Raw genomic sequence first — 27404 nt, 5'->3', positions numbered from 1 at the left:
GCCATCGCCCTCTGCCAGGCCTCCAGTTTTCACTCACTCCGATGTCTGCAGTAGCTCCCACTTTCTTTTCTGCTCCTCTAGTTCCCCACTACCGCAACCTGTCTGGCTCACAGCACCTGGCACTACCTTGGCACTGCCCCTCCCTTTCCTCCAAGGGCCCCCCATCTGCTGCCCCACAGAGGCATATCCACCAGCTCTGTCTCTAGGACACCAGCCTCTCCCCGACCTGCCCAGACTGCCTCACCACTCTCCCCGACATTACCCCCTCTCCACCCACCACTCTCCCCGACATTACCCCCTCTCCACCCACCACTCTCCCCGACATTACCCCCTCTCCACCCACCACTCTCCCCGACATTACCCCCTCTCCACCCACCACTCTCCCCGACATTACCCCCTCTCCACCCACCACTCTCCCCGACATTACCCCCTCTCCACCCGTACTGGCTTTCCCTGGGTCTCTCAGGTGGACTCCCTGGGCTTTGTGATACTGAACTTTACTGCCCTGGGGTGACTTCTGGATTTAAGAAGCAGCATTCACCCCACTTCTGGTGACACACAGCTAGAAGTGGAGGTTGCCTCATGATGGGTAAACAGGGGAAGGGCGGGGGGGATGGAGGTAAGAAATCCTGGAAGGAGGAGGGCCTGGGATGTGGGACAGGCCTTGACAGAGAAGGTCGAAGGCTCCCCAATCTCCTGACGATTTGTACAACCTGAGGGGCCATGGGCAGGGACAGAGCTGACCCCAGCAGGCCAGAGACTGATGAGTCACCAGAGAGGAGAGCACAGTCACCACCCGGCTGGCCAGGAAGGAGTGATGCTCTCACTGTCTGTGCCAGGGACAGGAAGTGTCCTGGAGAGGGAGTGGGCCAGAGAGGGCGTGCCCAAGAAGCACCTGCCTGCAGTCTGCCGAATGCTCCGCAGCCAGCCTGCTGGGCTTGTGCAGCCTCATCCTAGCCCAGCTTGGTCATTCAGTCCCCAGTCCTGAGTACCTGCTGTGACCCGAGCCCCTGCTAGGGCTTGTAGGCTACCTACAGGAGATGGAGAAAAGAGCTCACATGTATTCCACTATTCAATGCTCGAAATGACCCCATTATGATCTCCATATTACATGTGAACAAACCAAGGCACAGCAAGGTTGTGATCTGTCTAAAGGCCCAAAGCAAATAACCGCAGAACCGAAGTTCAAGCCCATGCCTTTCTCCCACCCCACAGAAAGGCAAGGGCTGAGGCCTCAGGATGGGATGATGGATCCAGGAACAGGCCCTGGGTGCTCCTGTCATGAAATCCCTGGCGGGGCTGTGTCTGTCACCCTCAAGACAGCCAGTGAGTGTGGCCAGCTCAGGGAGTAGAGCTGACTGCAGGGAACTTACACCTGGGGGCATGGAAGATGCTGATAATTTTATCCAGGATCACAGAGAAACCGCTTTGAGTGAGGGAGAGGGGGTGGGAAGGGCAAGGGGGAGACCTCAGGTTGGGTGTCAGGGGGACTTGAAGCTGCCACTACCTCTGTGAGGCTGGGGAGAAGGGATGGGGGGTGGTGGTCGCTAGCCACGGATCAGCTGCTCAGGGATGAATGGGGGTGAGGGGCACCCCTGCCCCATGAGCTCTGTATAATGAGGAGTTGGACCAGGTGAGCTGGAAGGGTCCACCCACTTCTGACAGCCAAGGTCCCCGGATTGTGAGGCAGCCGCAGTCCCATGGCACAGCAAGGAGATGCATCTGTCAGTTCCTGCTGCCTCCACTGAGCCTGGACAGCCCCCAGCACAGAGTAAGTATTCACAGAGAGAATGAATTAATGAAGGGATTGAATGAGTGAGTGTCCCCTCAGCTGCACGTTCCAGAATCTGGAAAGGAAGTAGGGAGGGGGTGAGAAAAGCCACTGGTCGTCTGTGGAGCCTGTGTGCTTCCTGCCCAGAGGAACACGGCCGATGCCAAGATTTGGGGAGAGAAGGGGAGGAGGAGCTATTTAACCTCTATCTTAATGCTGTAAATCCGGACAGGGAGATTTTAATTACTCAGCTTTGGGTGGTTTTATTTTTCAATTAAAGTCATCAAGTAAGCATTCAGAAATTAGTGCCCTTGTTAGGAGCTGGCAGCACAAGGACTCCTGCCCCAGATGCTGAATGGGAGCTGTCCAGCGACGGCGCGCGGCAGGGAGTGCACTTCAATATGGAGTCAGGCCCTGCAGGCCCCCGCCCTCACCCCGCCCATGGATTGAACTGATGCTCCAAGCCCTGGCAGGAGGCACAGCCAGAGGCTTCTGGGGGTGAGGCGGGTGCTCCCTGAGGCATCTGCCTCCTCTCCTCCACTGCCTGATGCAATAGAGTCCCTCCGGGCTCAGGCTAGGGGGCGTCGGCTCAAACCATGGGAGAGACCAGGAATCATGGAGCCCACAACGGGCTCGTGCACACAGTAGGGGCTGAGCTGGTGTTTGTGAAATTGGGGTGCAGGTGGAGAGGGGGAGTGGAGCTGAGGAGCTGGAATGAGGGCTGTGGTTTGGGCTCCACAGCCCTTGGTCACAGAGAGACCCTGACCCAGGAAATAGTGTTCTGGGAAGGACTCTGGCTGCTTTTACCCAGATCTTCCCAGAGTCTATGCTGGGAGGGAGACTGATGGGGAGAAGGAAACTGGTGTGCCAGTCTTGACCGCTGTTGGTGGCCTTTGGCCATGAGGCAACTGCTTTTCAGCAAATCCTAGCCAGCGAACCAACAGCCCTACCCAGTCCCACAAAGGAGCAGAAAAGAACAACAGGAGAATACAGGAGACCACTGGCTATCTCCAGAGGAAGACATTGATCCTCCTCCTCCTCTTGGAAACTGAGATGTCAGAGAAGTCCCGTGTGTTCTTTCATCAGTGCTATGGACTGAATCATGTTCCTCCCCGAGGTCTTAAGTTCGTAATTCCCCCAATGTGACTGTAGTTGGAGATAAGGGTTATAAAGGGGTAATTAAGTTTCAATGATGTCAGAATGGTGGGGTCATGATCCTATAGGATTAGTGCCCTTATAGGAAAAGAGTGTCATACTGGTTAAGAGTCACTAGTCTCTCTCACACTCTCTCTGCCATGTGAGAACACAGTGAGAAGACTGTCATCTGCACGCCAGGACCCTCGCCAGACCCTGGCCAGAAACAGAATCAGCCGGCACCTCAGTTTGGACTTTCCAGCCTCCAGAGCTGTGGGAAAATAAATGTCTGCTGTGTAAGTCACCCAGTCTGTGGCATTTTGTTATGGTAGCCAGAACTGACTAAGCCAATCAGTGGCATTTTTCACAGTGCCACGAGCTTCCACTTCCTAAGCACCCTTTTTCCTATAGCACTGGGAGGAGGCTGAGCAATGATGTGCACTGGCCGGGCATGCACAGCAGGAAGTGGCAGGGACAGGACCGGAGCCCAGGCAAGTCTTGCCATTTCCAAGGCAGTGCCTGAACAACATGCTGCTGCTGAAGATGCTGCTGATGGTCATGCTGGTGGCAAAATTCCCATGCAACCTGATAGAACAAAATGGAGCTGGCGACTGAATAAGAAGGTAACCAAGGGTCAAGAACAAAACAGGCTCAACAAAGCTTCCAAAGCATTCATGGGAGGCACTTCCCTAGGCGTTCTAAGGGGGATAATCCACCCTTCAGCCGGGACTCACCCAGGCACCACCCAGCTTCCTTGTTCTCTCTCAAGCCCTGGAATCAATGTCTATGATTTGATCCTGGAGGAAGAGGATGCAGACACACAGTGGGGGACCCAAGATGCCGTGCATCCTGAACTCTGCTCTAGCCAGGCTCTGAGGTGGCCTGCAGACCCTCCAGCCAACCAGCCTAGAAAATGCCCTCCCCATGCGGGTTTGTGTCCGCTCAGCCTGGCTGCCTTCCTGTGCACAGGGCGGCCACATGGAGCCTTTCCCATGATTCCACAGACACCCGGCTGAGACAACAGGGCTCATCCGTGTCCCAGAGATGAGCATCTCACTCCGACTGAGGGATGGGCTGTGAGGAGACCAAAGTGAATGGAAATGCGTCCCAGTGGTCCTGGGGTTCATGCCAGTATATGTATAGCACAACGCCATCATTTTTTTTTTCTTGATAGAGTGTCTAAAGAAGTTTACATTAATGCAACATGTCATCTTTTCTGGGAGCCATGTTTGAGATCAGAAGCCTCGGCTGGGCATCCGCTCAACACTATGAGGGTGATTAAGCAAATGTCAGGAACTGAGATGATGATACTAGGCAAGTAGGGGATTTGGATTTGGCTGATGAGGAAGTTTTGGGCCTGGGAGATGGCAGCCCCCTGACTGCTTCCAGGTGGTCTCGTGTTGTGAAGCAAACTCTGAGTGGTCTGGAGGCTGGCCTCTAGTGCTAGGTCTGGAACTTGCTTGCTGTGCAACTTAGACTAAACAGTTGCCCTCTCTGAGCCCAATCTCCTCACCTGAAGGGGAATTAGATATCTCTAAGATATCTTGGAAGATCTGTGTTTCCCTGACTCACTAATATTTAATGTGATTATGCTGTATGGAGTTTTACAGCATACTTTTTCTTAAATTATGTTCTTTGAAGTGGGTATTTGTATTTTCTATACATACTAACCAATTATTAATTGGTCTTTGGGGAAGATATGGGACTTTGTTATTTTTCTTTTAATTATCCTAAGGACAACTACGTTTCATCCACTGGGCAGGCACAGCTCTAGTCTTCCAGGCTGTGTCGTGGACGAGATACTTGATAAGAGTCACTGTGTGGACCAGAATAATCGCTGTGAAGAGAATGGACTTTGGCCTCAGAGAGGGTTTGAATGCAGATCCCACTACTGCATGGCTGTGTGGCTGTGGGCAGGATATTAAACCTTAGAGGGCCTCCACTTCCTGTGTATAAAATGGAACGAATATCAGCTGCCTTGTGGGACTGTTAGAGTAGATGAAATGGCACAGAGGCACCTGTCTCAGTGGGCATGGACAAATGCTGACCAGACAACTGCAGGGCTCTTGCCATTCCTGCTCTTCAGTCTCCTGTTACTCATTCTTTATACGTTCACCTTGTCCTCCCAAATAGAGTCTCAGGTCCTCCTCGCGGGTATGAGTGGTTCCGTGGGCCTCCTGTAAACTCTCATGTTGCCCAGCACACAGGCCTGTGGACAGTAAATGTTGATTTGCCCCTTTTCTTGGTACTGGCACAGTGGGACTCTTGGGATACCTGACTGCCCACGAGCCTCATTCTCGTTCTTCCCAATCCATGAAGTCCCTTCTCCAGGTGCCTCAGCAGTCACCCTGGTATTGACAAACACTATGTATCCTAGCTCTAGAGCATTTATTTTTAAAACATTAAACGACAAATGAGAGTGCTTACTTGTACTTTTCTTTAGTTTTTTTTTTTTCTTTTTTTTTTAAACAGAATCTTGCTCTGTCACCAGGCTGGGTTGCAGTGGCACAATCTTGGCTCACTGCAACCTCCACCTCCCAGGTTCAAGCGATTCCCCTGCCTCAGCCTCCTGAGTAGCTGGGACTAAAGGCATGCACCACCACGCCCAGCTAATTTTTGTATTTTTAGTAGAGACGGGGTTTCACCATGTTGGCCAAGATGGTCTTGATCTCTTGACCTTGTGATCTGCCCACCTTGGTCTCCTAAAGTGCTGGGATTACAGGCGTGAGCCACCGTGCCTGGCCTTTATTTTATTTTGTTTTTTAAATGAGAGTATCGCCTGAGTCAATATGAACAAATTCAAATACAGATGTATACAGAATGAAAGACAAACACCCTTCTTTACCCCTTCCCAGTTCATTCCTAGCCCCAGAGATGACCACAGTTAATAAATACGTCTTTTATTTCCCCAGCTTTTTTCTCTACATATTACAAATGATCTCTATAACATATGGAAACTTATACATGTGAAAGTTTTCTAGAAAGGTAAATGAGAATATTTTCTGAGACCTAGTTTAGTGTTTTACTTAAAATGTTTCTCATGCCAGACATATTGCTTTTTAAAAAACTAATTATATTTTTACATGATCATACAGTCAAGTGGACTTTCTTTGGGGTGCAGTTCTGTGAATTTTAATATGTGTGTAGATTTGTGTGACCACTGTTCCTACCACGGTCAGGACACAGATCAAGGTAAGTCACCTGACCCTGGGCAGTGCAGTGTTTGTAGGTCTCAGCTTCCTCATCTGGGAAATTAGCATTATCCTCAGCACCCTCCTCTACGCATAACACCCTCTTCATTTCTGGGGACTTCTCTGAGCTCAAATACTGTCAACCTGGTGTGAGCCAAACACGCCCTGGCTTGAACTCTGCCTCTGCCACATACAAGCTGAGAGACACGGGCAGGCATCTGAGCCTCCCTGAGCCTCTGAATTTTCTTCTTGAAAATGGACATGGTGCTATGAGCCGTGAAGGGCTGCGTGGGGATCAGACATACCACATGCAAAGTGCTTAGCATAGCAACAGACTCACAGGAGGGGCTCAACACACGGTGGGCACCATTGTGAACTGTGAGCAGAGAGGCTGGTGCACAGCAAATTCACAGGAAATGGTAACACAATTGGATCGAATGGAGATAGCTGGAGTTTGTTCTGGAGTCTGAGTCCCAGGGATGCTGAAGGTCTTTAGGGCAGATGCCCTGGCCAGTGTTTTCCAGAGGGCCCTGCACTTGACCAGGAGAGCAAGACTGAGGATGGCAGGAGCCAAGAGACCTAGATGCAGATATCTTGGTGTTGTTCCTCCTTGATCACCTCTAATACCTTTGTTAGGCAGCATCCCAGGACTCAGCTCTTGAAACATGAGACAGTAAGGACTTTCTGATCACAGCCAACTGTGCCCTCAGGCTCCGGCCTTCAAGCTGTGGGTCGCCTAGCTTTGGGGGCAGCGTGGCAGAAGGAGCAGCCTCTTAAATATTGAATCACCCCTCCCCAGCCCCACTCCTGCCTGATTTGACTAACAGCCCAAGCTTTAAGTTTGTTTAATAACCTCCTGACACTAAACAAACAACCTTGCAAGAGGAGTAATTTGCAAGGCAGAAAGAAAACAAATAAGTCGCAAGGACACCTCACGGCAGCGCAGCGGCCAAGCTGATTACATTCTGGGGGCTAGCTAAGTCCGACATCACCCGAAAGCATATAGATCTTGGCTCTTCTCCACTCTGGGAAGACTTCAAAAGCACAGGCAAGGGAAACTTTGCATTAGGCCTACGGTGATGGAGCATCATTAGAATTCTGGGGGCGTATTAAATGCCATCTAGTTGTTAACACGATGCATTGTTTTCTGCTAAATAATTGATCACGGTGCAGAGATTGTGTTTGTGGAGTTTAACAAAGTGATTAGAGCAGGGAACATTTCCAGGAGGCAAGCTGCATCTGTAACCCGGAGCCCGTTCCGTGCACACCTTCCTGGCGGGGGGCCACAGGGCATTGAGGATTCTCTCCACACTGGAGCTGGAGTGCAGTGCTAGAGCGCTGACACAGCAGGATGAAGCAGGATGAAGGGTGGCAGCGGGCGGTGAGGGTGGCCTGATTCCAGGCTAACAAGGATCTGGTGGTAGCAGAACCCTTGTAATGGCCTATGGGGTTCTAACAGCCTTCTACCCTATGGGGAGCATTGTGGAAGGCAAGTGTCCTGTCCAGGGAGAGAACAAATGCTGTACCCCGCCCATGGTCCCATGCCCAAGTGGCGTCTCCCGGTGCAATGAAAGCAGTCTGGTCCTGAGAAGAGCTTGTCCTGGGACATTCTCATTTTCTTTTCCTTTTCTGTCCCATTTTCTTTTAAAGGTGCTCTCTTTCTTTCCCTCTTCCTATAAGGATGCACTGTTGGATCTAGGATGTGTGTGAAAAGACATGCATCCTGGTCTTGAGGGACAAGCCGCAGTTCAGACCCTGTCAAGTTGGAGGAGGGGAGAGTTCAGATGAGGGCTGTGGGTGTGTTAGGAAGGTGAAGTTGGTGAGATTTCAGTGGGTCACTGAAATAGACAGAAACTGGAAAGTCTGGTACATAATAGTAAGGCACAAGAATATTTCAGGAATAAATGACACAGCCCTAAGCAAGGAGTTCAAGCTTACACATGATTGACTTTTGTGCCCTTGAGCAAAACTCTAAGACTCAGTTTCCCCATCTGAAAAGAACATGCTTCTCTACGTGTGTGTGTGTGTGTGTGCACTCACGTGATCATTTCTTCCTTTCTTTTTTTTTTTTTTTGAGACAGAGTCTTGCGGTGTCACCCATGCTGGAGTGCAGTGGTGCAATCTCGGCTCACTGCAACCTCCACCTGTTGGGTTCAACTGATTCTCCTGCCCCAGGCGCCTCCCCAGTAGCTGAGATTACAGGCGCCCACCACCACGCCCGGCTAATTTTTTTTTTTTGTATTTTTGGTTCAGACGGGGTTTTCCCATGTTGACAAGGCTGGTCTCAAACTCCTGACCTCAGGTGATCCCCCCACCTCGGCCTCCCAAAGTGCTGGGATTATAGGCATGGGCCACTGTGCCCGGCCCTCATGTGATAATTTCTAAGGGTCCCTCTGACCCTGACATTCTGGGCTTCTACATCAGCTATTCTCATCCCTGACTACATTGGAATCTCCTAAGGACCTTTAAAAATACAGGTGCTGGGGCCCAACCCCCAGAGCGCCTGATTCAGTGGGTCTGGGCATCTGTCCTCTGCAGGTCTGTCCCAGTGATTCTGATGTGCAGCCAGGGACAGGAGCTCTTTCCTCGGGAGAGGAGTGGGTGATATTAAAGTCAGCACAGCTCCGGACTGACTTGCCCTGGCCACGTGGGTCAGAGTTTGGGACTCTGGAGAAAGAAGGGAAAGATGAGCAGCCAGAGATAGTTTCCCAGCTGCTACAGAGTGCTGGGCAAGCAAAAAACACTGCTGAGAGCTCTGCCAGCAGCCTCTGGGAAGATGGAGGGTTCTGGGGACGAGGCACAGGATGGGCAGGAGGCAGCCTTCAGTGCTCTGTGCACAGAAAATGCTTCCTTCACAGAGAGTCAGTGTCCAGGCTGTGGAAACAAACATCTCCCTGCTCGCAGCCTGCACCTTTCTCTCTCTGAATGGCACAGGCCACATGCTGAGGCCTTTGCCATGGCCCTGCCAGTCAGGTGTTTGCCCTGGCCCGTTCCCTCCTCTCCCAAGCTGACCAAGATTGCCCAGCTCATGGGTTCCAAATATCCATTGTGCTGCCTTTGTCCTCAGCACACATGTCCAAGGTGGATTAGGTGACCATGAGTGCCCTCCGCAGCAGCTGGAGAGCTCCTTGAGGACCAGGACTGGTCCTCCCACCTTTCTGGTGTCATAAAGTGTCAGGTGCTTTTGTGAGTTCATGCAGACTCACATCTCACTGCACTGCCTCCACCCCTGCCTCGTATCCGAGTCCCTTTCCCACTCTAGACCCATTTCCTCATCTGAAAACTGAGTGGGCCAGGTTCCTATCGACTCTGATGGTAGCAGGTTCTGAGACAAAGAGGACCACTACTAGTTCCATTGTACAGATGGGATCATTGAGGCTGGGAAAGCCTTGACTTGACCAAGGTTGTTCACCCGGTAGGTGGGCAAGTGACCCAAATCCTAGTTCATTTGCTAGAAAACTTGCAATGGGAAACACAAAATACAGTCCAAGATCATGGAGGCCTCTCCAAAGCTCCAGGCTAGGCAGAAAACGAGCTTCTGTGAGAAGACCAGTGCCTGCTTTGAAAGGAGCCTCTGGCCAGGTGCGGTGGCTCAGGCCTGTAATCCCAGCACTTTGGGAGGCTGAGGCGGGTGGATCGCCTGAGGTCAGGAGTTCCAGACCAGCCTGGCCAACATGGTTAAACCCCGTCTCTACAAAAAATACAAAAATTAGATGGGCGTAGTGACAGGTGTCTGTAATCCTAGCTACTGGGGAGGCGAGGCAGGAGAAACGCTTGAATCTGGGAGGCGGAGGTTGCAGTGAGCTGAGATCTTGCCATTGCACTCCAGTTTGGGTGACACAGCAAGACTCCGTCTCAAAAAAAAAAAAAAAAGAAAAGAAAAAAACAAAAGAAAAAAAGAAAGGAGGCTCCTCTTGCTCTCTCTGGAAAAAGAAAAAAAGAAAGGAGCCTCCTCTTGCTCTCTCTGGAAAAAGAAAAAAAGAAAGGAGCCTCCTCTTGCTCTCTCTGGATGAGACCTAACTGACTCAGCGGGACTTTTCCAGGCTCGGTAAGCGGTAGGTCCGGCCTCTGGCTGGGCTGCCTGTTCCCCTGAAGGACCATGGCTTGGGCCACACCTCCAGCCCTAGCTTGCCTGTTGTCATGTGCTGATGGGCCACCCGCTTAGAGTCTGAGGGAGGTCGGTTTTTAGCGAAAGCTCACAGCAAATTGCCTCGGGAACCCCAGGAAGTCTGTCCTGTGGAGGCGTGTGTCGGCCCTGGCCAGCAGGGGGCGTGGCCTGCGACCTGGGTCACAAAGTTGGGATGAGAAGCAGGTGGTGGGGGCTGGGATTGGGGGTGGAGGCAGGGTCAAAGCCCATGCCCAGGGTGCTCACCGTGTGTGCCTCTGACGAATTCCAGCTGCTACCCCAATCCGCTTTTGTAGGTTGGGGCATTTCATAACAACCAAACTCCAGGCCTGCAGAGCCCTGTGGGGTGATTTTGGTAAAATTATCCTCTGAGTCGTTTTGGTTTGAGATGCCGTATTTGGAACTGGGGGAGGGGAGAATGAGACTCCTCCCTTTCCCTCTGCTAAAGCAAAAATTATTCTGACACTTGTTAAAATGCAAGAAAGACTTTATTCGGGACCATTTTGATAAGTGTCAAGACTACTGCAACAGGGGAGAGAAATGGGGCTTAACTCTGAGTACAGCAAGGACAATGAGGATTTCCAGCCCAGCAGCAGTCAGGGGCCAGGGGATGGAAAATCACTAAGAGGAGACATCAAGGGTAGGGGGATTCTCGCCAACCCAACTTAGCAAGTGTGGTCAGATATCAAGGGTGGGTGGGGGAGTTTGATCAGATATTGGGGGTGGTCAAGTATTGAGGCTGGGGGAGTCTCTCCAAATGGACTTAGCAGGATTCTTGCTAAAATTGGATGAGGCAGGCCAAATACAGTGCCCAAGGACAAAGCCTCACTGAAAAGAGTGCTCCATGGGGCCTGGTGAGTCTTTGTCACCCCCATTCTGCCCATAAGAGCTGAAGTGGTCTAACCTGGTCTCCTATATGCCCTCTCATGCTCATATGCTCATTTTAGTTCCTTCCTCAAAGACAATGTGGTCCAGCTCAGCACTCCTCCAACCTGAGGACTGGCTAAAACACAGATTCTTGGGCCTCACCCCCAGAGTTCTGAAACAGAAGGCCTGGAAACCATACTTTGAGAGCCACTGGTCTAGCCTTCTCCTCCCTCAGTTCCCAGCCTAGCTGGAGGTGTTTCCTGGGAGAAAGGGCTTCAACTGTGGTTTCAGACAGACTTAGAATCTTGGCTGCGGTCTGGCTTTGTAGCCAAGGTGAATCTCTTACCCTCTCTGAGCCAAGATTTTTTGAGATGCCGGGAAAGCAATGCCCACCTCACGGGCTCCAGGTGAGATCTGAATGGGATGACAAACGTTGGTAAAGGCTCTGGCTCAGGCACACCCTCCAAAAAGATTCCTTTCCAGGAGGGGAGCCACAGTAAAGGTGAGGAGTACAGAGTCCATCCAGCCCACCCTCATCCTGTGCAAAGAAGGAAAGGGAGGCCGGGAGAGAGGGACCCCAACCCAGGTCCCATTGGAGGGGCTGGCAGAGCTGGGGCCTGGCTGGGCACTTGGAAGCAATGCCCTTCCTGCCTCCAGCCAGGAGACTGGCAGCCATAACCCACAGCTCAGTAGTGACAGCAAAGCTTCTCAGCACCTGAGCAAGCATCACTGTTAAAAGCAGCCCCTCTCTGCCCAACCCCCAGCACGTGTGAAGGCTGTCACTCACCAAAGCTGTTGAACCACCGAGTCACCACCTCACTGAGAGGCCGCCTCCTCCCTCCTCCCTTAGACAACCTCCTGCCTTCATGGGTTCAGCTGGGGCTGGGGGCAGGTGAGATGTGGGTACTGAGCACACTCCCAGCTCCCACAGGTGCATGTGGCTGGGCAGAGACATGCAGCAGGGTGTCCGCCAGCTCCTGCCTCTGCTCACACGCCTTGACCAGCTTCCTCTTACCTATGGCCAATTTTCTACATGTGCTAGATATGAGCTTTCCCCTCTGCCTCCCCATCCTCCCCATTTGGAGGAGCCTCAGTGGGGACATGCTAGCCCACAGAGATTACCCCAGGGCACCTCAGGAGAGGGCCACCAGCCGCTCCTCCATCTTTATTTTCCACAACTCCCCACCTGGCCCTGGCCTCAAGCTGAGCTCTGGTCCCTTAAAGGGGAAACTCATTCCATGTCTCCTGACATCCATTTGCTCATCTGTGAAATGGATGCCCACAGAAGGCTCGCATATCCTCAGAAATCCTGCCCCGAAGCTGCCCACATGAACGTAGACTTGGTTTGGAGTGGAGGACCTTGCTCAGAGAGAAATGAAGTGGCTTATGAAGGGCCATTTTTGTATCCATGGGCTCCTTCCCAGCTTGGCTCCCTTCTGATAGAAGTTAGAATTACCTGGAAAACAGTTCCACCTGGGCTGGGTTGTGGAGCTCCTACAGGCTTTGCTCACACCCCTCTTGGCTCCCCCACTCTGGTGAGCCTCTGCCTACATTGCAGTCTCCTCAGAGGTGTCTTCTGTCCCTGCCGCCCCTGTCCTTCCCACGTGCTTCATCAGAGTCCCTGCATCGACTGTCATCTGTGTACTTGGCTTTCTCTGCTACTTTGGGACCCCTGAGGGCAGGGCTTGTGGCTCAGTCTTTGCTCCCCAGAGCCCAAGCACTGCCATTGGTGGGGACAGAGCAGGCACCCAGTGCACAGGCAGCATTAGTGGCCTGGAGCCACTGGAGAAGGTTTCCTCCACCTTTTCTCCTGTGTTCTCTGATGTCTGTGCATCCGGGGCTTCCCAGCTCCAAGAGGAACTCAGCAGGTGTGCAGACGACACACACCCAATGCAGCAGGAATTCTGTGCTGGGGTTCTCCAGCAGTTCCCCTCTTGCAGCATTTACTAAAGCAGATACAGGTTGAGGGCCCACAGACCCAAAGATCTAACTTTCGGATGCAAGGATTCCTGTTTGAGAAGCAAGCTAAGGTTAAGAGAGGACCTCTAACCCCTCCAGCCAATGTCCATCACTCACCCATTCATTCTTCTTCCCACCTCCAACCCAGGGACACCTCCCTCCATGCACCAGCCACTCATACACAAAGACAATGAGGATTATTGAGCCCCTGGGTGCATGCAGGGGCTTTGGAGAAATGGTGTCCTCCACTGGTCCCCTTTGGGAAGGAAGCCTCAGGGCCCTGTGTCATGCTCTGTCAGTCACTGCCATCTCTATTCCAGGCATGTGGGGCTCCTCCAGCTCTTCCAATCCTCCAAAGACCCTCTAGTGTCTTTAGCTCAAAGGAATCCTTTGATGTCCTAAGTGACAAAGCCAGGCATCACGGTGGCTTCGGAGGCTGCTGCATGGAGATGATAGCTCCCTGAAGACACGCCGGGAGGGGCAGCTGCCCGCCTGCCAGCACTTCTGGCTGTCTGAAGTGCTTCGTTTCAGCTCCACGTGGGTGTCTTTGTTGTCAGAGCCGCTGCTGCCTGGCTTTCTTGGGGAAGCGCGGAGTCCTGGGCCAGCCCAGCCCAGCTGTGTATGTGAGGCAAGGACAGGGTTTGGGTCTTCCCCAGGAAGCGAGCACCCTCCTTCGCTCAAGGCTGCCCCAAGAGGTCCCTGTCACAGGGTCTGAGCCCTCTATCCCACCCAGGCTGCTCAGCCCTCTGATCGCTGGACACCAGGGTGTGGGTGTGGGGTGAATTTTGCCTCCAAGGCCTTTGCACATCCTAGTTCTAATCCCAGCTCTGCCATTCTGTAGCTGGGTGTCTCCGGGCATGTCTCAGTCTCGTCGTCTGTAAAATGGGGATGATGATGTAAAAATAATACCAACTCCACTGGGTTATTGTGCAGGTTGGGGGGAACAACATGAACCTCTTGCAGATCCCCTGGCACCAGCAAATTCTTAATAAGTAGCAGCTCTCATCCTTTTTTGTCTTCTTCATAACCTAGTGGTGCTCCATCCTGGCTACTCAGCCCAGACTCCAGCCCAGACTAATGACAGAGGAGCTCTGAAGGTGGAGTTTGCTTTTGTGCTTTAAAAAATCTCCCCCAGGTGATTGTAAGATGCAGCCAAGGCACAGAACTCCAGATCTAACCAGATCCCACAGCTCCTGACCTGTATTGCGCAATACGGTAGCTACTAGCCCCACGTGACTACTGACATTCAAATTCATTGAAATGACATAAAACTAAAAGTTCATTTTCTCAGACCACACTAACCGCTTTTCGAGGGCTTAGCAGCTGCAGGTGGCTAGTCCTACTGTATTGGACATTTCCATCCTGGCAGGAAGTTCTTTTGGAGAGTGCTGTAAGACCAGAACTGGCCAATGGCAGTAGAATGCAAGCCATACAGGCAACTAGAATTTCTCTAATTACTACGTTTAGTAAGTAAAAGGAAACAGGTGAAATTAATTTTAATATATCTTATTTAATCCTCTAGAGCCAAAGGGGTGTCATTTCAGCATGAAATCGATATGAAGAAAATTAGTGTTTTTTTTTTTTTGACGGAGTTTTTTTTTTCTGAGACAGAGTTTCGCTCTTGTTGCCCAGGCTGGAGTCCAATGGCACGATCTCGGCTCACTGCAACCTCCGCCTCCCGGGTTCAAGCAATTCTCCTGTCTCAGCCTCCTGAGTAGCTGGGATTACAAGCGCATACCACCATGCCCAGCTAATTTTTATATTTTTAGTAGAGACGGGGTTTCGCCATGTTGGTCAGGCTGGTCTCGAACTCCTGACCTCGTGATCGGCCCGCCTCGGCCTCCCAAAGTGCTGAGATTACAGGCATGAGCCACCGCGCCTGGCCTAATTAGTATTTTTGCATCCATCTTTGTTATTTCGTCTTCAAAGTCTGGTGGGACCGGCATCTTTCCCATGTTCAACACATGTGCCCTGCACAAGGTGGGCACTCTGCAGAAAGCCAGCAATGCGTGAAGCTATTTCAAATCAACATCCTCCTCTTGACAGAATAATATGGCCATGCCTGTGTTAGTGCTTTAGGATGGATGAAGTACTGTGATTGGTGTGTCTTCTGATGCCCTCTAGAGCCCTCTGATCAAGTATTCTAATCCTCAGGCTGGCCTAGACCACACGGCTTGTAGGGTACACAGGTAGCGCCAAACCAGGCTTCTCTCTGATGCTGCTGTTGTATTCCCCGGTTAGTGAGTGTCCAGCCCTGGGCAATGCCATTTATGTTGGCCTAATAGACTGAGTGTCCCTTGGGGACAGAAAGCCTGTCCCATATTTCTGTTTTGCCTATCCTGTGCCTGATATTCCCTCTATCAGCTCACCTGTCCATGGGGAAAGCATGGCCTGAGTAACTTGATGGTGCGGGAAAATCTCTCCACCTGGTAATTGTGAGTCCGGAGATTCCCACCATCATCCCATCCTTACTGCCAAGACATCTATGCCACCATTGCCTCAAATAAATGTAGTGTTGCCAGGGAAGGTTTATGCTGCCACCTGCCATCTGGCATGAGTGCCTTAATATATATTGATTTAGTCATATTTGTTCATAGAAAAGCATGGCCAGGAGGGAATGGGTCAGACAGTGGCTCAATTATGATAAGTGAAGGTGGGGCACGAAGCTCCACTTAAGTGAGGAAAGAAGAGCATGGTAGGGGCAGGTGAGGACACCAGGGCTTGTGGGGGACCATGAGGACCCCAGAGGTGGGCCACAGAAAGGACCTCTGAGAGAGAGAGAATGGAGGGGGCAGAATGCCATGTCCACCTGAAGGTGGGCCTCGCCTCAGCCTCCATGCACTGTGGGGTCCTGGTGCATGGTGCCAGCTAGTGAAAGGGGAATATGACAGCTGAGGCTCCAGAAGACATGCAAAGTGGGGTTCTGCTCACTTCATATTGCGGTCTCTTAGGATTTCAGCTTCTGTTAGAAGCCCAGCAGACAGGGCAGCATTAGGAGTTCAGCTTCTGGCCTTGGCGGCTGGCAGGCAGGCAGGCAGGCTAGGCAGGGGGCATCAACTCTTGCCTGGCTGCTGTGAGTGGTGAGACCATTCTCTGAAGTATACAGCTGGCACCACATAGGAGCAGTTCTCCAATACCCTCACACCTTTCCCAGTCTTTCTGCTGACCTGCTCTGACAACCACTTTCCCCAAACTCTTCCTGATCCTCCTAGCCTCTGTGGAATGTATTTCCAATTTCCCTCTTCTCCCAGAGACCCACACCAGACCTCCTTTATGATTTACACTCAGTGCCCCCCTCCCTGCCCATAGCTCTAAGCTGCCACCCTCCCCAGCTCAGAATAGACCTTGGTGCAACCCTCGTGGCTGCCAGCCCCTCTAGCTTGTCTCGAACTCCTCATTGAGTGAGAACACCTGACTCCACGTCTCCTCTCTAATGGCTTTAGCCAGAGTGACACAGGAAGGGAAAGTGATCTATTGCAGGCATCTGACAGCTTTTCAGATCCAGAGACCGCCAGCCCCGGCCCAGCTGTTCTTTCTCATTCATCTGACAAATTCGCGCTGAGCACCAAATCTGGACCGTGTCCTATCTCATGGCCTTGGATCTGACTTGCTGCGCCTGCACGGATTGGTTTTGGAGAATGGGCAGATGAATTAAGATCATCCAAATGGTTTTCTCTTGCACCAAAATGTCCAAATGCCAGGCAGCTCTGTTCATGGACTCAGCGTTTAATGATCCCTCCCGAAAATCATAATCCATCAATCTCTCCTTTCAAGACCATCAATCAATGTTGCAGAATCCACAGCCACGTTCTCATTCCAGGAGTTTTCAGTCACTTCCCTTTTCCTTCGTGCTTGCAGAACAGTGCACTGACACTAGGAAATTGTGTTTTGACATGAAATCATTATGTGTTTTAAAACCTCTCCTTCAATGTTGGTCTTCTCCTGCCTTCTGCTCTCCCCTGACACATTTCCTGCTATGAACTGCAGTGCAAGCCCCGTTCCTTTGTTAAACTCTCAGGCACAGGGAGGGATGCATGGTCTGAAAGGAAGAAACAGGAAAAACAGCCTGCCCATTTCATCCTGGCACTATCACACTATAATTAATTTGTCTCCTCCAATCGAAGCCCTGCTAGTATGTTTCCCTCAGGGATGTTTAAGGGATTGGTGAGGGTGGGAGGGGCTGGACTGGGGCTTGAAGTGCCTGTACAGTGAAGTTGCATCATAATTAGGTGTGTTTAATGTGCAAAGTTAACTATATGTCTCCAGCAATCAGTCAACCAATCAATCAATAAGTACAAAGGGAGATTGGCTATATATAGTATGGCGATTCTGCCCATGGACCTCCCCTCACACCAGCCCAGAGTGAGGGTGAGTTGGGAGGTGTGTGCTGGCTGCTCCCTAGGTCCTGGCTCCTGCACGCCTCCCCAGCGCTAGCATCTCCCTTTGCTGATGCAGATTCTAGGGTTCAGAGACTTATATTCTTTGTACAATGAGCCCCTAAACACATGCTAATTACTGATATGGCACTCAGCCAAAGACGAGTGCTGAAAGAAAAATGGACAGATCAGGCTTCCAGGAAAGTGCTATGTGTCTGTCTGTGTCTTTCCCAAGGTGTTTATTTTCATGGGAAATTGTGGTTCTAAATGATTCTCAATAGCCTTGCCGACTTTAGATCTTAAGTCCCCTAGGATGTGCCTGGGCCACATTTGGGAGACTCAGTGCAGCATAATCACATCCGGCCTGGGGGAAACAAGCTTTACATGGCCTCTAACTAGCAGCGTCTTCTAGAGCAAGTTGCTTGACTTTTCTGAGCCTCAGTTTTCTCATCTGGAAATGGGGGCCATTAACACCAACCTTACAGAGTTTGACAAGAGTGTTGAAGACAAAATATGCTTCTGTGGGATCTAGCAGGTGTGCAGCAAATGATGGGTTTTCTTATCATTATGGATAAATGACTTCTTGCCGAGGAATGCTGAGCTGCCAATGTCACCAGAGGTGCTTCATTTAAAAAAGAATAGAGGCTGTTAAGTTAGTTTTGCCGAACAACAATAACTTACACTGTAAATAATTGATGCTGTGAGCAGACTTCCAGTGCTCACACCCAGGTAAGGTTTAGGAATGACGGCTCCACATTCTAAATCGCCTCATTTTTCCCTTGTTGAATAAATGGAGTCTTTGCTGGCGGTCAGAATGAAAGTCACCCAAGTATGACTTACAAAGAAAGTGCCACTGGGGGAAGGTGGCAGGCTTGCTCCCTTGCTGCTGGGGCTGGGGAGGTACCCCTGCTGCCCCTGTGTGAAGCAGCCATAATTTGCACCCAGCACCCAAAGGCTCCCCTTTCAGAGGCCCTCTCTCTCTTTTTGGCAACCACTGCTCCAGGCAGCTTCGGGCTGCTTCTCAGTTGTACTACGTTTTTACTAAGAATTTCTTCTCTGGTCTGCCCTCCTTTGGAAGTGTCCTCATTTAAAACCCACTTGACTATGATCTTGGCTAGGGCCCCCCACCCCATCCACCATTTCAGGAGTATTTAGGTGTGCATTATGTGGAAGAGAAGCAGTCTTCCTGTGAGCTACCCCACCCTCATTTTGTAGCCAAGCAAGGTGAGGCTCAGGGTTAGGAAGTAAATCTCCAAGGCCTCACAGCCACTTTTACCCTGACTCATCCACGCAGCTGAGACATGCTGGGACCTCAGGCAGGTAAGGATCTAGGACTCAGAAACTGATATGGGACTAGTGAAGGTGGAAGAAACAAAATTCACGTATCTGTGCTTCAAGCGGAGAACGTGGACTGGCTTCTCCATCTTGGGTGCTGATTTTGTGGGGAGGGTCTTATCTAGGGGAGGGGGCAGGACAGCAGCAGGAGCCATGGGTGGGGTGGCAAGTGAAGCTGTTTGGGAGGCCTGTCCATGATCTGGATGTTCAGTAGCAAAGGGGCTGGGGGTGGGGCTGGCCCCAGAGCAGGAGCTGGCTGGAGCAAGGGAGAGTTTTAGGGCTCCCGCAAGGGATGGGATAAACCTTTCCCCTTATTGAACACCTAAGACGTGCCAGGCACTGGTCTAAGGATTTTTCATGTGTTAACTCCACAGGCAGCACAACAGCCCTCGGAGGCATGTGCTGATATTTATAGATGAGTGAGCAAGGTCTCCTGGGGGTGCAGTTGCTTGTCCAAGATCACACACCTAGCAAGGGGAGCATCAGGCCTCCAAAGAGCACCTGGGGCTCTTGATGCCTGGCTCCAGGTCACCAGGAGAGGGAGGATGAGGAAACTGAGGCAGACACTGCCCTGGGAGACAAGGCCGAGATGCAGAGGGGTGGGGCAGGGAGTGAGTGCAGGCAGGAGCTGGCCGAAGCCCAGCATGGCCCAGCTGACCAGGTGAGCGCCCTGCCTCATGCAGGGAGAGGGAGAACCTTGGCCAGGTGAGCTAGAGGGCAGATCCCAGCCCCAGGCTCACTTCATGAGGCCGCAGCTAAGGCTCTGCACCCGGGACTCCTGGTCAGGCCTATAGTGGGGTTCAATTTCAGCAGTGGGCTCTGGGTGGACGCATCCTTTCCCTGTGGGGCCCCATGAATTACATGGCCAGGTGACCCTCCCACTGGCCGACATGAAAGACCAGCCTGCAGGTGCCTGAGGGAGGCCCCTGACACTGTTATAGGAACTTGCCTGCCCCAGCATTTTAGTCAAACTGCCAGTAGGGCCACCTGCTTTCTAGTTCAGTGAGGCCTCCCTGGGAAGGAACTTTAAAAAGATTTCAAATCATAACTATGCTCTCCTCTGCTTAAGTTGACAAATGTTTTCTTCCCCTCCATCACAGCAAGGGCACATACAGAGAAGGATAACATTGAGAAAAGAGGGTTCTGGCTGTCAGGCCAAAAGGGGACAATTAACCCTTACTTAGTCAATTTCTTCCTGCCAGAAGAAGCATCTTTGATAAGCGTGCCCAGGGACAGTTTGCGTTTTCTCCCCTCCAGTGACACCAGGCTCACCGGCACAAGGGGCTGTTTATTTTTCTCTCCAATGTGTCCGTTGTATCCACCCTTTCCTTTTTAGCTCCAAGCATAACCTTGGCTGCCCCCTCGTCCTCCCTGCTGGATTTCTGCAGTGACCTCATAACCGGACTCACCTCTCCACCCTACACTTTCATCCTGTAACCCTCCTTCTCCCAGAGTGACCTTCCTGAAGCTCACTGGAAGACCGTAGTTTGCCTCAGCTGGGCACCTTTCCACCTCTTCTGATGTCAGCAGCAGATCTTCCCCGGGCACTTCGTCTCTCCATTTCTGGGGAACTGTGTCCTAGTTCCATCCTATCCTAGCAACCTGTTCCTCTTGCCATGGGTGCTGGACTCAAGGGGTGGGCTGGTCAGAGCCTTCCCTTGGAATTGTGGCCTTGGGGAGGAGGAAGGCATGGCAAAGGCATCTGCTCTTCTGGGCAGCTATGGCAGTGTCCTGGCCACCTGTTCCAGTGCCATGGTGCTGAGTGACCAACAGCTACAGGTGCTTGTGCCCTAGAACAGTCTTGTGGTATGGATGGATGTTTGCACTACCCCCTCTGTTCTTGGCTTAGCAGCATATAAGTTCCATTCTGAAATCCTGGGAGCTGCTTAATGCATGTTATCGAACTTTTTAATGCTTGACCCAACTAAAAGAGATTCTGTCAACTGCAACCTAGAATCGCTACCAACACAGAAGGCGGCACAGAGAAACCCCATAGTGGCAGATCTCAAGCTTTAAGATGCAGTTGTGTTTGACACCAGATGCACCACCATCTTTCTCAGCTATGTAAGCCAACAAGTTCCCTCACTTCCTCACGTGGTAGAAGAAGATGTGTTTCTGAAACTTGCAAGCAATTGAGTCCCGGATAATGTGAGTGTTTTTGGCATCTCCAGTGACCCTCATGTAGGCTGCTCACTGCCCCCAAACCTCCCATTTCATTTTCACTACTTTCTTTGCTCACACAGCGCCCTGCTGGAAGACGTTCATTCCTTGCTCTTCAGGTTGCAGGGTTTCTGTATTCACAGAAACCCTACGGTTGACACATACAAGTTTATTCATTTATTCCCTTCTCAACATTGAAGACCCACATTTCTTCAGGGCAATATTCTGGATGAGAGAGTACAGCAAGGTAGAAGTGAAGTGGTGGATAATTCTTTCTCTACACATCAGACATCTTTGTAATAAGTGCCTTATGCAAACCTTCTCATTTAATTCTCATAACTCGCAAGGAAGGAGTATTAGTATTGTCATTTTGTGGCCATGGAAACTGAAGTTTTGGGAACTTAACTGACCTTCCCAAAGTCACAGAGGTCTGGAGTGGTAGAAGCAGCTCCTTCCTGTGTTCCTCCCTAGATGGCTACATCCACGAGGCATGGTTCCCATTCTTAAAGGGGCAGCCTTCACTGCTGGGACCTGGAATACACTCCTAGATGGGAACATGGCTACTGTATGCAACTTAGCAAACATCATTGGGTGTCTGCTACATACAAATTGTGGGGTGTTTCTGCAAAAGCAAAGGAATTAAAATAAGATGTAGTCCCTGACCTTAAAGGGCACAGTGTAGAAGCGAAGAAGGGCAGGCATTCAGAGATCTGTTGCTCAGATTGCAGAGAATGAACAGGAGAAAGACAATGACTTTGAACTGGGAGCTCTTGGGCTGGGCCTTGAAGGTCACTCAGTGTCAGGTAAGTGGTGAACACAATCCAAGTTACAGAGCTCAGATGGAGAAGCACAGACAACCATGGGCTGGGAGATCAGGGAAGACAGCCCTTCCCTGAGCCTGCAAGCAGGGTAAAGGATGTGATAATTGTATGTTGCTCCATCTCATCTCTCTAACTGGCATAAAAACTTCTTGATAAGCATTTTTGTACAAAAACTCAGCAGCATTTAGTGAATTCTGTCCATGCACCAAACACTGTGCCCAGTGTTTTATTCCAAGCCTAATTTTCTTTTCCTCTGTAAAATGAGAGTGCTCATAAGAGCTAGATTTTCATGGAGGATTAGTATGGTTTGGAAATCATTTGGCATCTAAGCAGTGCTCACTGGGTGGGTGGGTGGTAGATGCTATGGCTGATCATTATAATGACCCCATACAAAGGCTTTTTTTTTTTGTTTTTTTGAGACCAAGTCTTGCTCTGTCACCCAGGCTGGAGTGCAGTGGCACCATCTCTGCTCACTGCAACCTCCACCTCCTGGATTCAAGAGATTCTCCTGCCTCAGCCTCCTGAGTAGCCAGGATTACAGGTGCGTGCCACCATGCTCAGCTAATTTTTTTTTTTTTGGTATTTTTTAGTAGAGATGGGGTTTCACAGGCTGGTCTCGAACCCCTGACCTCTGGTGATCTGCATGCCTCGGCCTCCCAAAGTTCTGGGATTACAGGCATGAGCCACTGCGCCAGGCCAAAAAGGCATTTTTAACTACAGATGAGAAAGACTGAGGCTCAGCGGCATTATGAGGCTTATTGGGGGTCCCTGGGCTTCTTGCAAACAGAAGAGGGCTATCAGGCCAGAACTGTTCACTCTTCTTCCTGAAAGGGGCTCTCTGGCCTGGTAGTCAGTCTCTGACAGTGGAAGAGTGTCTGGTGACTGGGAATATACCTTGTTGGCCCTTTCCTGGGGAAGGTTCTCAGCCCAGCAGCCTGGCAGTCTAGATGTGGGCCTGGCTGGCTGTGACTTTGTAGAGGTCACTCATCCAGGAACTCAACCCTTGGGTCTGATGTCTGAGGCCAGTGCTCTTGGGGTACAGATGTGGATGGCAGAGGCCCTGGTGTGGGTGACGGGGAGCATCTGGGAGACAGCGGTCCACCATCCCTCTCCTGGACTTGTGTCTGGCCCCCACTAACAGAAGAGCATAGGATGGTTTCCACCTTAAGGTCCTATGAGAGGAGGGGTGACAGTTGCCCAAGGGCGGGCAGCATTCTTCTCAACTCAGAAGGTTCACTTTGACTGGGGCACACATCATGTCACCCTAGGGGACAGGAAGCAAAAGCAACAATAAAAGTTGCACCAGCAGCAGGGGCTACGGGACAGAGCTTTTTTTTTTTTTTTTTTTTTTTGCCTTTTTTATGGGCTTCTCCAAAGGAAGCCAGACCTGGAGGGGAGACAAATGCTGGACACACAGGGAAGCTAAGAGAACTTGTGGGGACAAACTTGAGAACCTTCTGAGGACTTCCAGAAATAATCAGGGAGACTTGAGGGCTAGGTCACGGGTCCTGAACGAGTGGGTAAAAGAAGTGAGGTTCAAGAGAAACCTCATTTCAAAGGCTATGCCTAGCATGGGCTGGGCACACAGTGGGTCCCCAACCGTACTTTCTTGTTAATGCATTCATTAGGGCCACTCTCATTAGTGGGGATGTACATGCTGACTTGTTCTCTGCATCCCAATCAAATGGAAACCTGCGTGGAATGACAATGCAGGCTTCTGAGGAAGCGATGCAGTCGCTGTGGCTCTGAGCCTCCTTGGGGAGCTGGTCTGCCAGCTCTCCTAGCTACCTGGGGCAGAAGTTGTTCTCACTGCTCAGAGCTGGGCTGCTGCTGGCTTTCTTTGCACTGGAAAAGCTCAGCTCCACGTGCTTGCCTAGCCCCCTAACTTCCAGCAAGAATGTTTGGGACCCGAAGGGGAGACCAAGGTGTCTGCAGTGGCCAAGGGCTCTTCTGAGTGAATCTCTTGTTTGATCTCCCGGAACAGAAACTTAGAGCAGATTCTATTCCAGCCCCTCAACATACGTGGTCCTCAAATGGACTGAGGGCGGAGGAGCACAGCAGTGCAAAAGGGATGGTGAGGAGCAGTGGGTGGTGATGGGGGAGGAGGTCCTCTCTCCTCCCTGAGCAGGGCTGCCATTCCATCCACTCAATTCCAGTACATTTGATTCTGAGCCACAAGTGGCTTGTTCCTCTCCAAAGAAGCATTTGAATTTTAAAAGAGGACCCTGGAGAGGAAACACTTAACCCAAAGGAATGAATATTTAATGCCGGCATTTCAGGTTCTGGCGGGGAGAGCTCTTGGGGGGCCTTTCCCGATGTTCCACAGAGTACACCCCCAGCCGCCTACCTCCTCTGCTCAGGATGAGGCCAGCCTGGCAGCAGCTGCTGGGAGAGAATGCAGTTCTGGGCTGGGCTCAGTTTTCCTCTAACTCTGTGTGTCCCCAAGCAGGCTGTGGGGGTACTTGTTGGGCCCCAGCTGGCTTCAGTGTTAAGACTCTCAAAGGGGTGGCTCAAGGGATAAATTGTCCCCTCTTTTTCTTTTTCTTTTTTATAAAAATTGGGCCTGCAAGTCCCTTCAGGTGGGGCCACACTCTCCTGCTCAGCACGCCGCCCCCACTTTCTCTTGTCTTATACAACCCCTGCCTTGTGTGTGTACTTTACCCTCTGCCCTAGGAGTGTTTGATTATGAGACCCCCTGCTTTCACGAGGTTGTCATGGGGACCAGGGGCAGCTAGGAAAGGTTTGGGGGCTGTGAGCTGTGCATGGATGCAGAAATGAATGGGATGACAGCTCCACTCTATTTTCTGTCTGCCAACCTCAAAGCTGGGCTGGGAACCTGACATAGGTAGACTCATGTCATTTGCCCACAGCAAGGAGGACATCCCCATGTAGAAGGGGTGGGGACAGAGGCTCAGAGCAGTTAGGTGACTCGTTAAGTCATTGGCTGGTAGGGGTGGAGCCAGGGTCTGAATGGAACCCTAATGCCCACACTCTTTCCTCTTCACATGTGGCTTCAGCACCTCTCCTGAGATGACGACTCAAGCCTTACTATGGGTCGTCTTACAGTGGGGGCTTCCTGGGTGATGTGGCTGTTTGGGGAGTACCCTCAGATGGGTGGCATTGTCAGATATGAGCTCCTCATGTGATGGAGGAGAAGACAGGGCCTCAGTTTTTCTTAGGCTTTAGTAGGGAATTCTGAATCCAGGGATTTGTGCTCCAAGGGCTTCTATAAAGTGGGGCTGCCATTCAGTGTGCTCCTTGGCCTCTTTCTGGATGGAGGTGTAGAATAGATCAGTTTCCCCTTCAAAGTTTAGCCTGTTAACTTTCTTTAAAATTCAAGAGGGAGAAAATTGTGAAGTACCGTGAGTTCTGAGTTCCTCTCCAAAGAACCAATGTGTCAATATGTTCAGCTTCCCCGTTCTTTGTTCTCCATTTTAAAGTTTAACTTCCTCATTCTTTGTGTCTCCTTGCCCCTAGCCTCAGTAAACAACCCCCTCCTAGCCTCTATCACCTGCTCTGAACTTAGTCATCCTTGGTCACCTGCTCTGTTCTTAGTCATCCTGAGTCACCTGCTCTGTAACCGCCCTTCCTGCCGAACTACTCACCCTGCCACTCTGGCTCATATTCCTGCTCTCTTTAAAATAGCCAGTCAGAATTAGCTTGGAATGTGTGGTCCAATCCTAGCCAATAGGGGAAAGACACAGCAGTAGGGACTAGCTGCGTTAGGGTAAGAAGCCCTTCCCCTCCCTTTTCCGGTGTGCTCTCGCCACTGCTCCATCCGCAAGACACACCCTTCTATAGAAGTAAATTGCCTTGCTGAGAAAACTTTTGCCTAAGTGCTATTTTCACTTGGTGGCACCGAGCACTTACTTCCAACAGAGGGCTTAGAAGACAAATTAGGGATCATCTGTGCCTGTTGCTGTCTACTGGGGTGGCAGGACTCCTTTGCAAATGCCTGGCTGGTTCAAACATTGCAGCAGTGGCTGTGACCACATTAGGACTCCCTGCTTGCAGGACCACCCATTTGGGTATAGGCCCCACAGCTTAGGAAGTTGTCAACAGCTGGTGGCAATGGCAGAGTCAGAGGGCTGTGTCCTTTGAGCCTGTTCCTTCTCTCTTCCTGGCCTTGTCTTCCTGCCCCTCCCTTGGGATTCTGGCTCTGTCCCTGAAGCCCATTCCCCCTGCCTCAGGCCTTGATGCCCACAAATCTATCTACTCCATAAATGGTCTCATCAGACAAAGCCCATGGCCAGCCTGGGCTGGCAGAACCATTGCAGGCTTTTCAGTCAGACCCACGTGAGTTGGAAGCCTGGTTCTCTGGTTTACATCGCGAAATTGGGCAAGGTACTTCATCTCTCTGAGATGCGGTTTCCTTATCTTCAAAAAGGGTATGATGATGCCTCATAGGGTGTTTAGGCAGATTGAGTGTGTATAACAACATATTTTAAATTGTGCTTTACAATGGCCTTGCTTTTTCATGGAGGATTAGCACTCTGTCCTGGATGATTCTATATGAGTACCTAAAAGAGGCTCTTCAACATATTCTTGTTTGCCCGATATTCTTTTGCAAGAATGGACCATGATTTATTTAGCAGTCTTCTTCAGATGGACATTTAAGTTGTTTACAATATGTTGTGATGATAAATAATTCTGGGATAACAGTTTTGTATATTCATCATTTTACCCATATGTATCTGCTTATGTGCAACCTGCTCCTTTCCTTAGGAGTTTCCTCTCCTTGTCTTCTCTACCTGTGCAGGCATCTTACTTACCCTGCAAGGGCAGCTCCAAGGCTGCCTTCCTGTGAAACCCTCCCTGAATTTCCCAGGAGGGTCACGTTGCTCTCCTCCAGAGCCTGGTGGTTCCCTGTTCATATTTCCAGGTAGACTCCTATTCTCACATTTTAATCACTTAATTTGTATGTCTGTTTCTCCTTCTAAATTGTGAACTCCATGACCACAGGACTGTTTTTGACAGCAGAGGCTGCACATGTATCCCCAGTGCCTAGCCCATTGTTTTTCACATAGTAGGAGCTTAACTTTTTTATGCATCATGAATAAATGAAACACAGTCTCTGCCCTCAGGGAACTGATGGTCAATGGAGGAAATAAGTCATGTACACAGATAATTATAATGACAATGCAAGGCAGAAAGCACTATATGCCAGCAGAGGTACAGATTATTCTGTTTGGTGCTTCTGAGCCTTGACTGCAAATGAGAGTCACCTGGGGAGATTTTTAAACACTATGCCTGAGCGCTATCCTCAGAGAGTCTGGTTTATTTGGTCTCACGTGGAGTTCAGCAACTGGTAATTAGAAAGCCCTCAGAGTGATTCTACTGCTAGCCAGGGTCAAGAACCACCCCTGAAATATTGCTCAAGTCAATGACTCTCCTGGGGAACTTGCAAATTCCTCAGGGAACTCCTTTCCTGGGGAAATGCAAATTCTGACTCAGCATGTCTGGGTGGGGCCTAAGGCTTGACATTTTTTTCCCGTTTTTTCCCCCAGCTTTATTGCAGTATGCTTGACAGATAAAAATTGTTCATATTTAAGGTATACAATATCATGTTTTGATATATATACACATTGTCAAATGATGACCATAATCAAGCTAATTAACATATCCATTACCTCACATAGTTATTATTTTTTCTGTGTGTGGCAA

The 27404-nt window shown here is 50.7% G+C and overlaps 4 annotated features.

The window, feature by feature from the left end:
• Window positions 1775-2275: an enhancer, noted in NCBI's record as "H3K4me1 hESC enhancer chr2:119892423-119892923 (GRCh37/hg19 assembly coordinates)". NCBI's record gives its function as "activates a minimal SCP1, AML or CMV promoter by ChIP-STARR-seq in primed H9 embryonic stem cells {active_cell/tissue: H9 hESC(primed)}" and the evidence as "EXISTENCE:reporter gene assay evidence [ECO:0000049][PMID:30033119]".
• Window positions 2276-2776: an enhancer, noted in NCBI's record as "H3K4me1 hESC enhancer chr2:119891922-119892422 (GRCh37/hg19 assembly coordinates)". NCBI's record gives its function as "activates a minimal SCP1, AML or CMV promoter by ChIP-STARR-seq in primed H9 embryonic stem cells {active_cell/tissue: H9 hESC(primed)}" and the evidence as "EXISTENCE:reporter gene assay evidence [ECO:0000049][PMID:30033119]".
• Window positions 23506-24171: an enhancer, noted in NCBI's record as "H3K4me1 hESC enhancer chr2:119870527-119871192 (GRCh37/hg19 assembly coordinates)". NCBI's record gives its function as "activates a minimal SCP1, AML or CMV promoter by ChIP-STARR-seq in primed H9 embryonic stem cells {active_cell/tissue: H9 hESC(primed)}" and the evidence as "EXISTENCE:reporter gene assay evidence [ECO:0000049][PMID:30033119]".
• Window positions 24754-25953: an enhancer, noted in NCBI's record as "P300/CBP strongly-dependent group 1 enhancer chr2:119868745-119869944 (GRCh37/hg19 assembly coordinates)". NCBI's record gives its function as "activates an origin of replication core promoter dependent on BRD2, BRD4, P300/CBP, MED14 and CDK7 cofactors, with strong dependence on P300/CBP, by STARR-seq in HCT116 cells {active_cell/tissue: HCT116}" and the evidence as "EXISTENCE:reporter gene assay evidence [ECO:0000049][PMID:35650434]".

This window comes from Homo sapiens, chromosome 2 (assembly GCF_000001405.40).
Source record: "Homo sapiens chromosome 2, GRCh38.p14 Primary Assembly".
In the NCBI taxonomy this organism is placed as follows: domain Eukaryota; kingdom Metazoa; phylum Chordata; class Mammalia; order Primates; family Hominidae; genus Homo; species Homo sapiens.
Note: the sequence above shows the minus strand (reverse complement) of the source record. Positions and strands in the feature narration are given on the sequence as shown.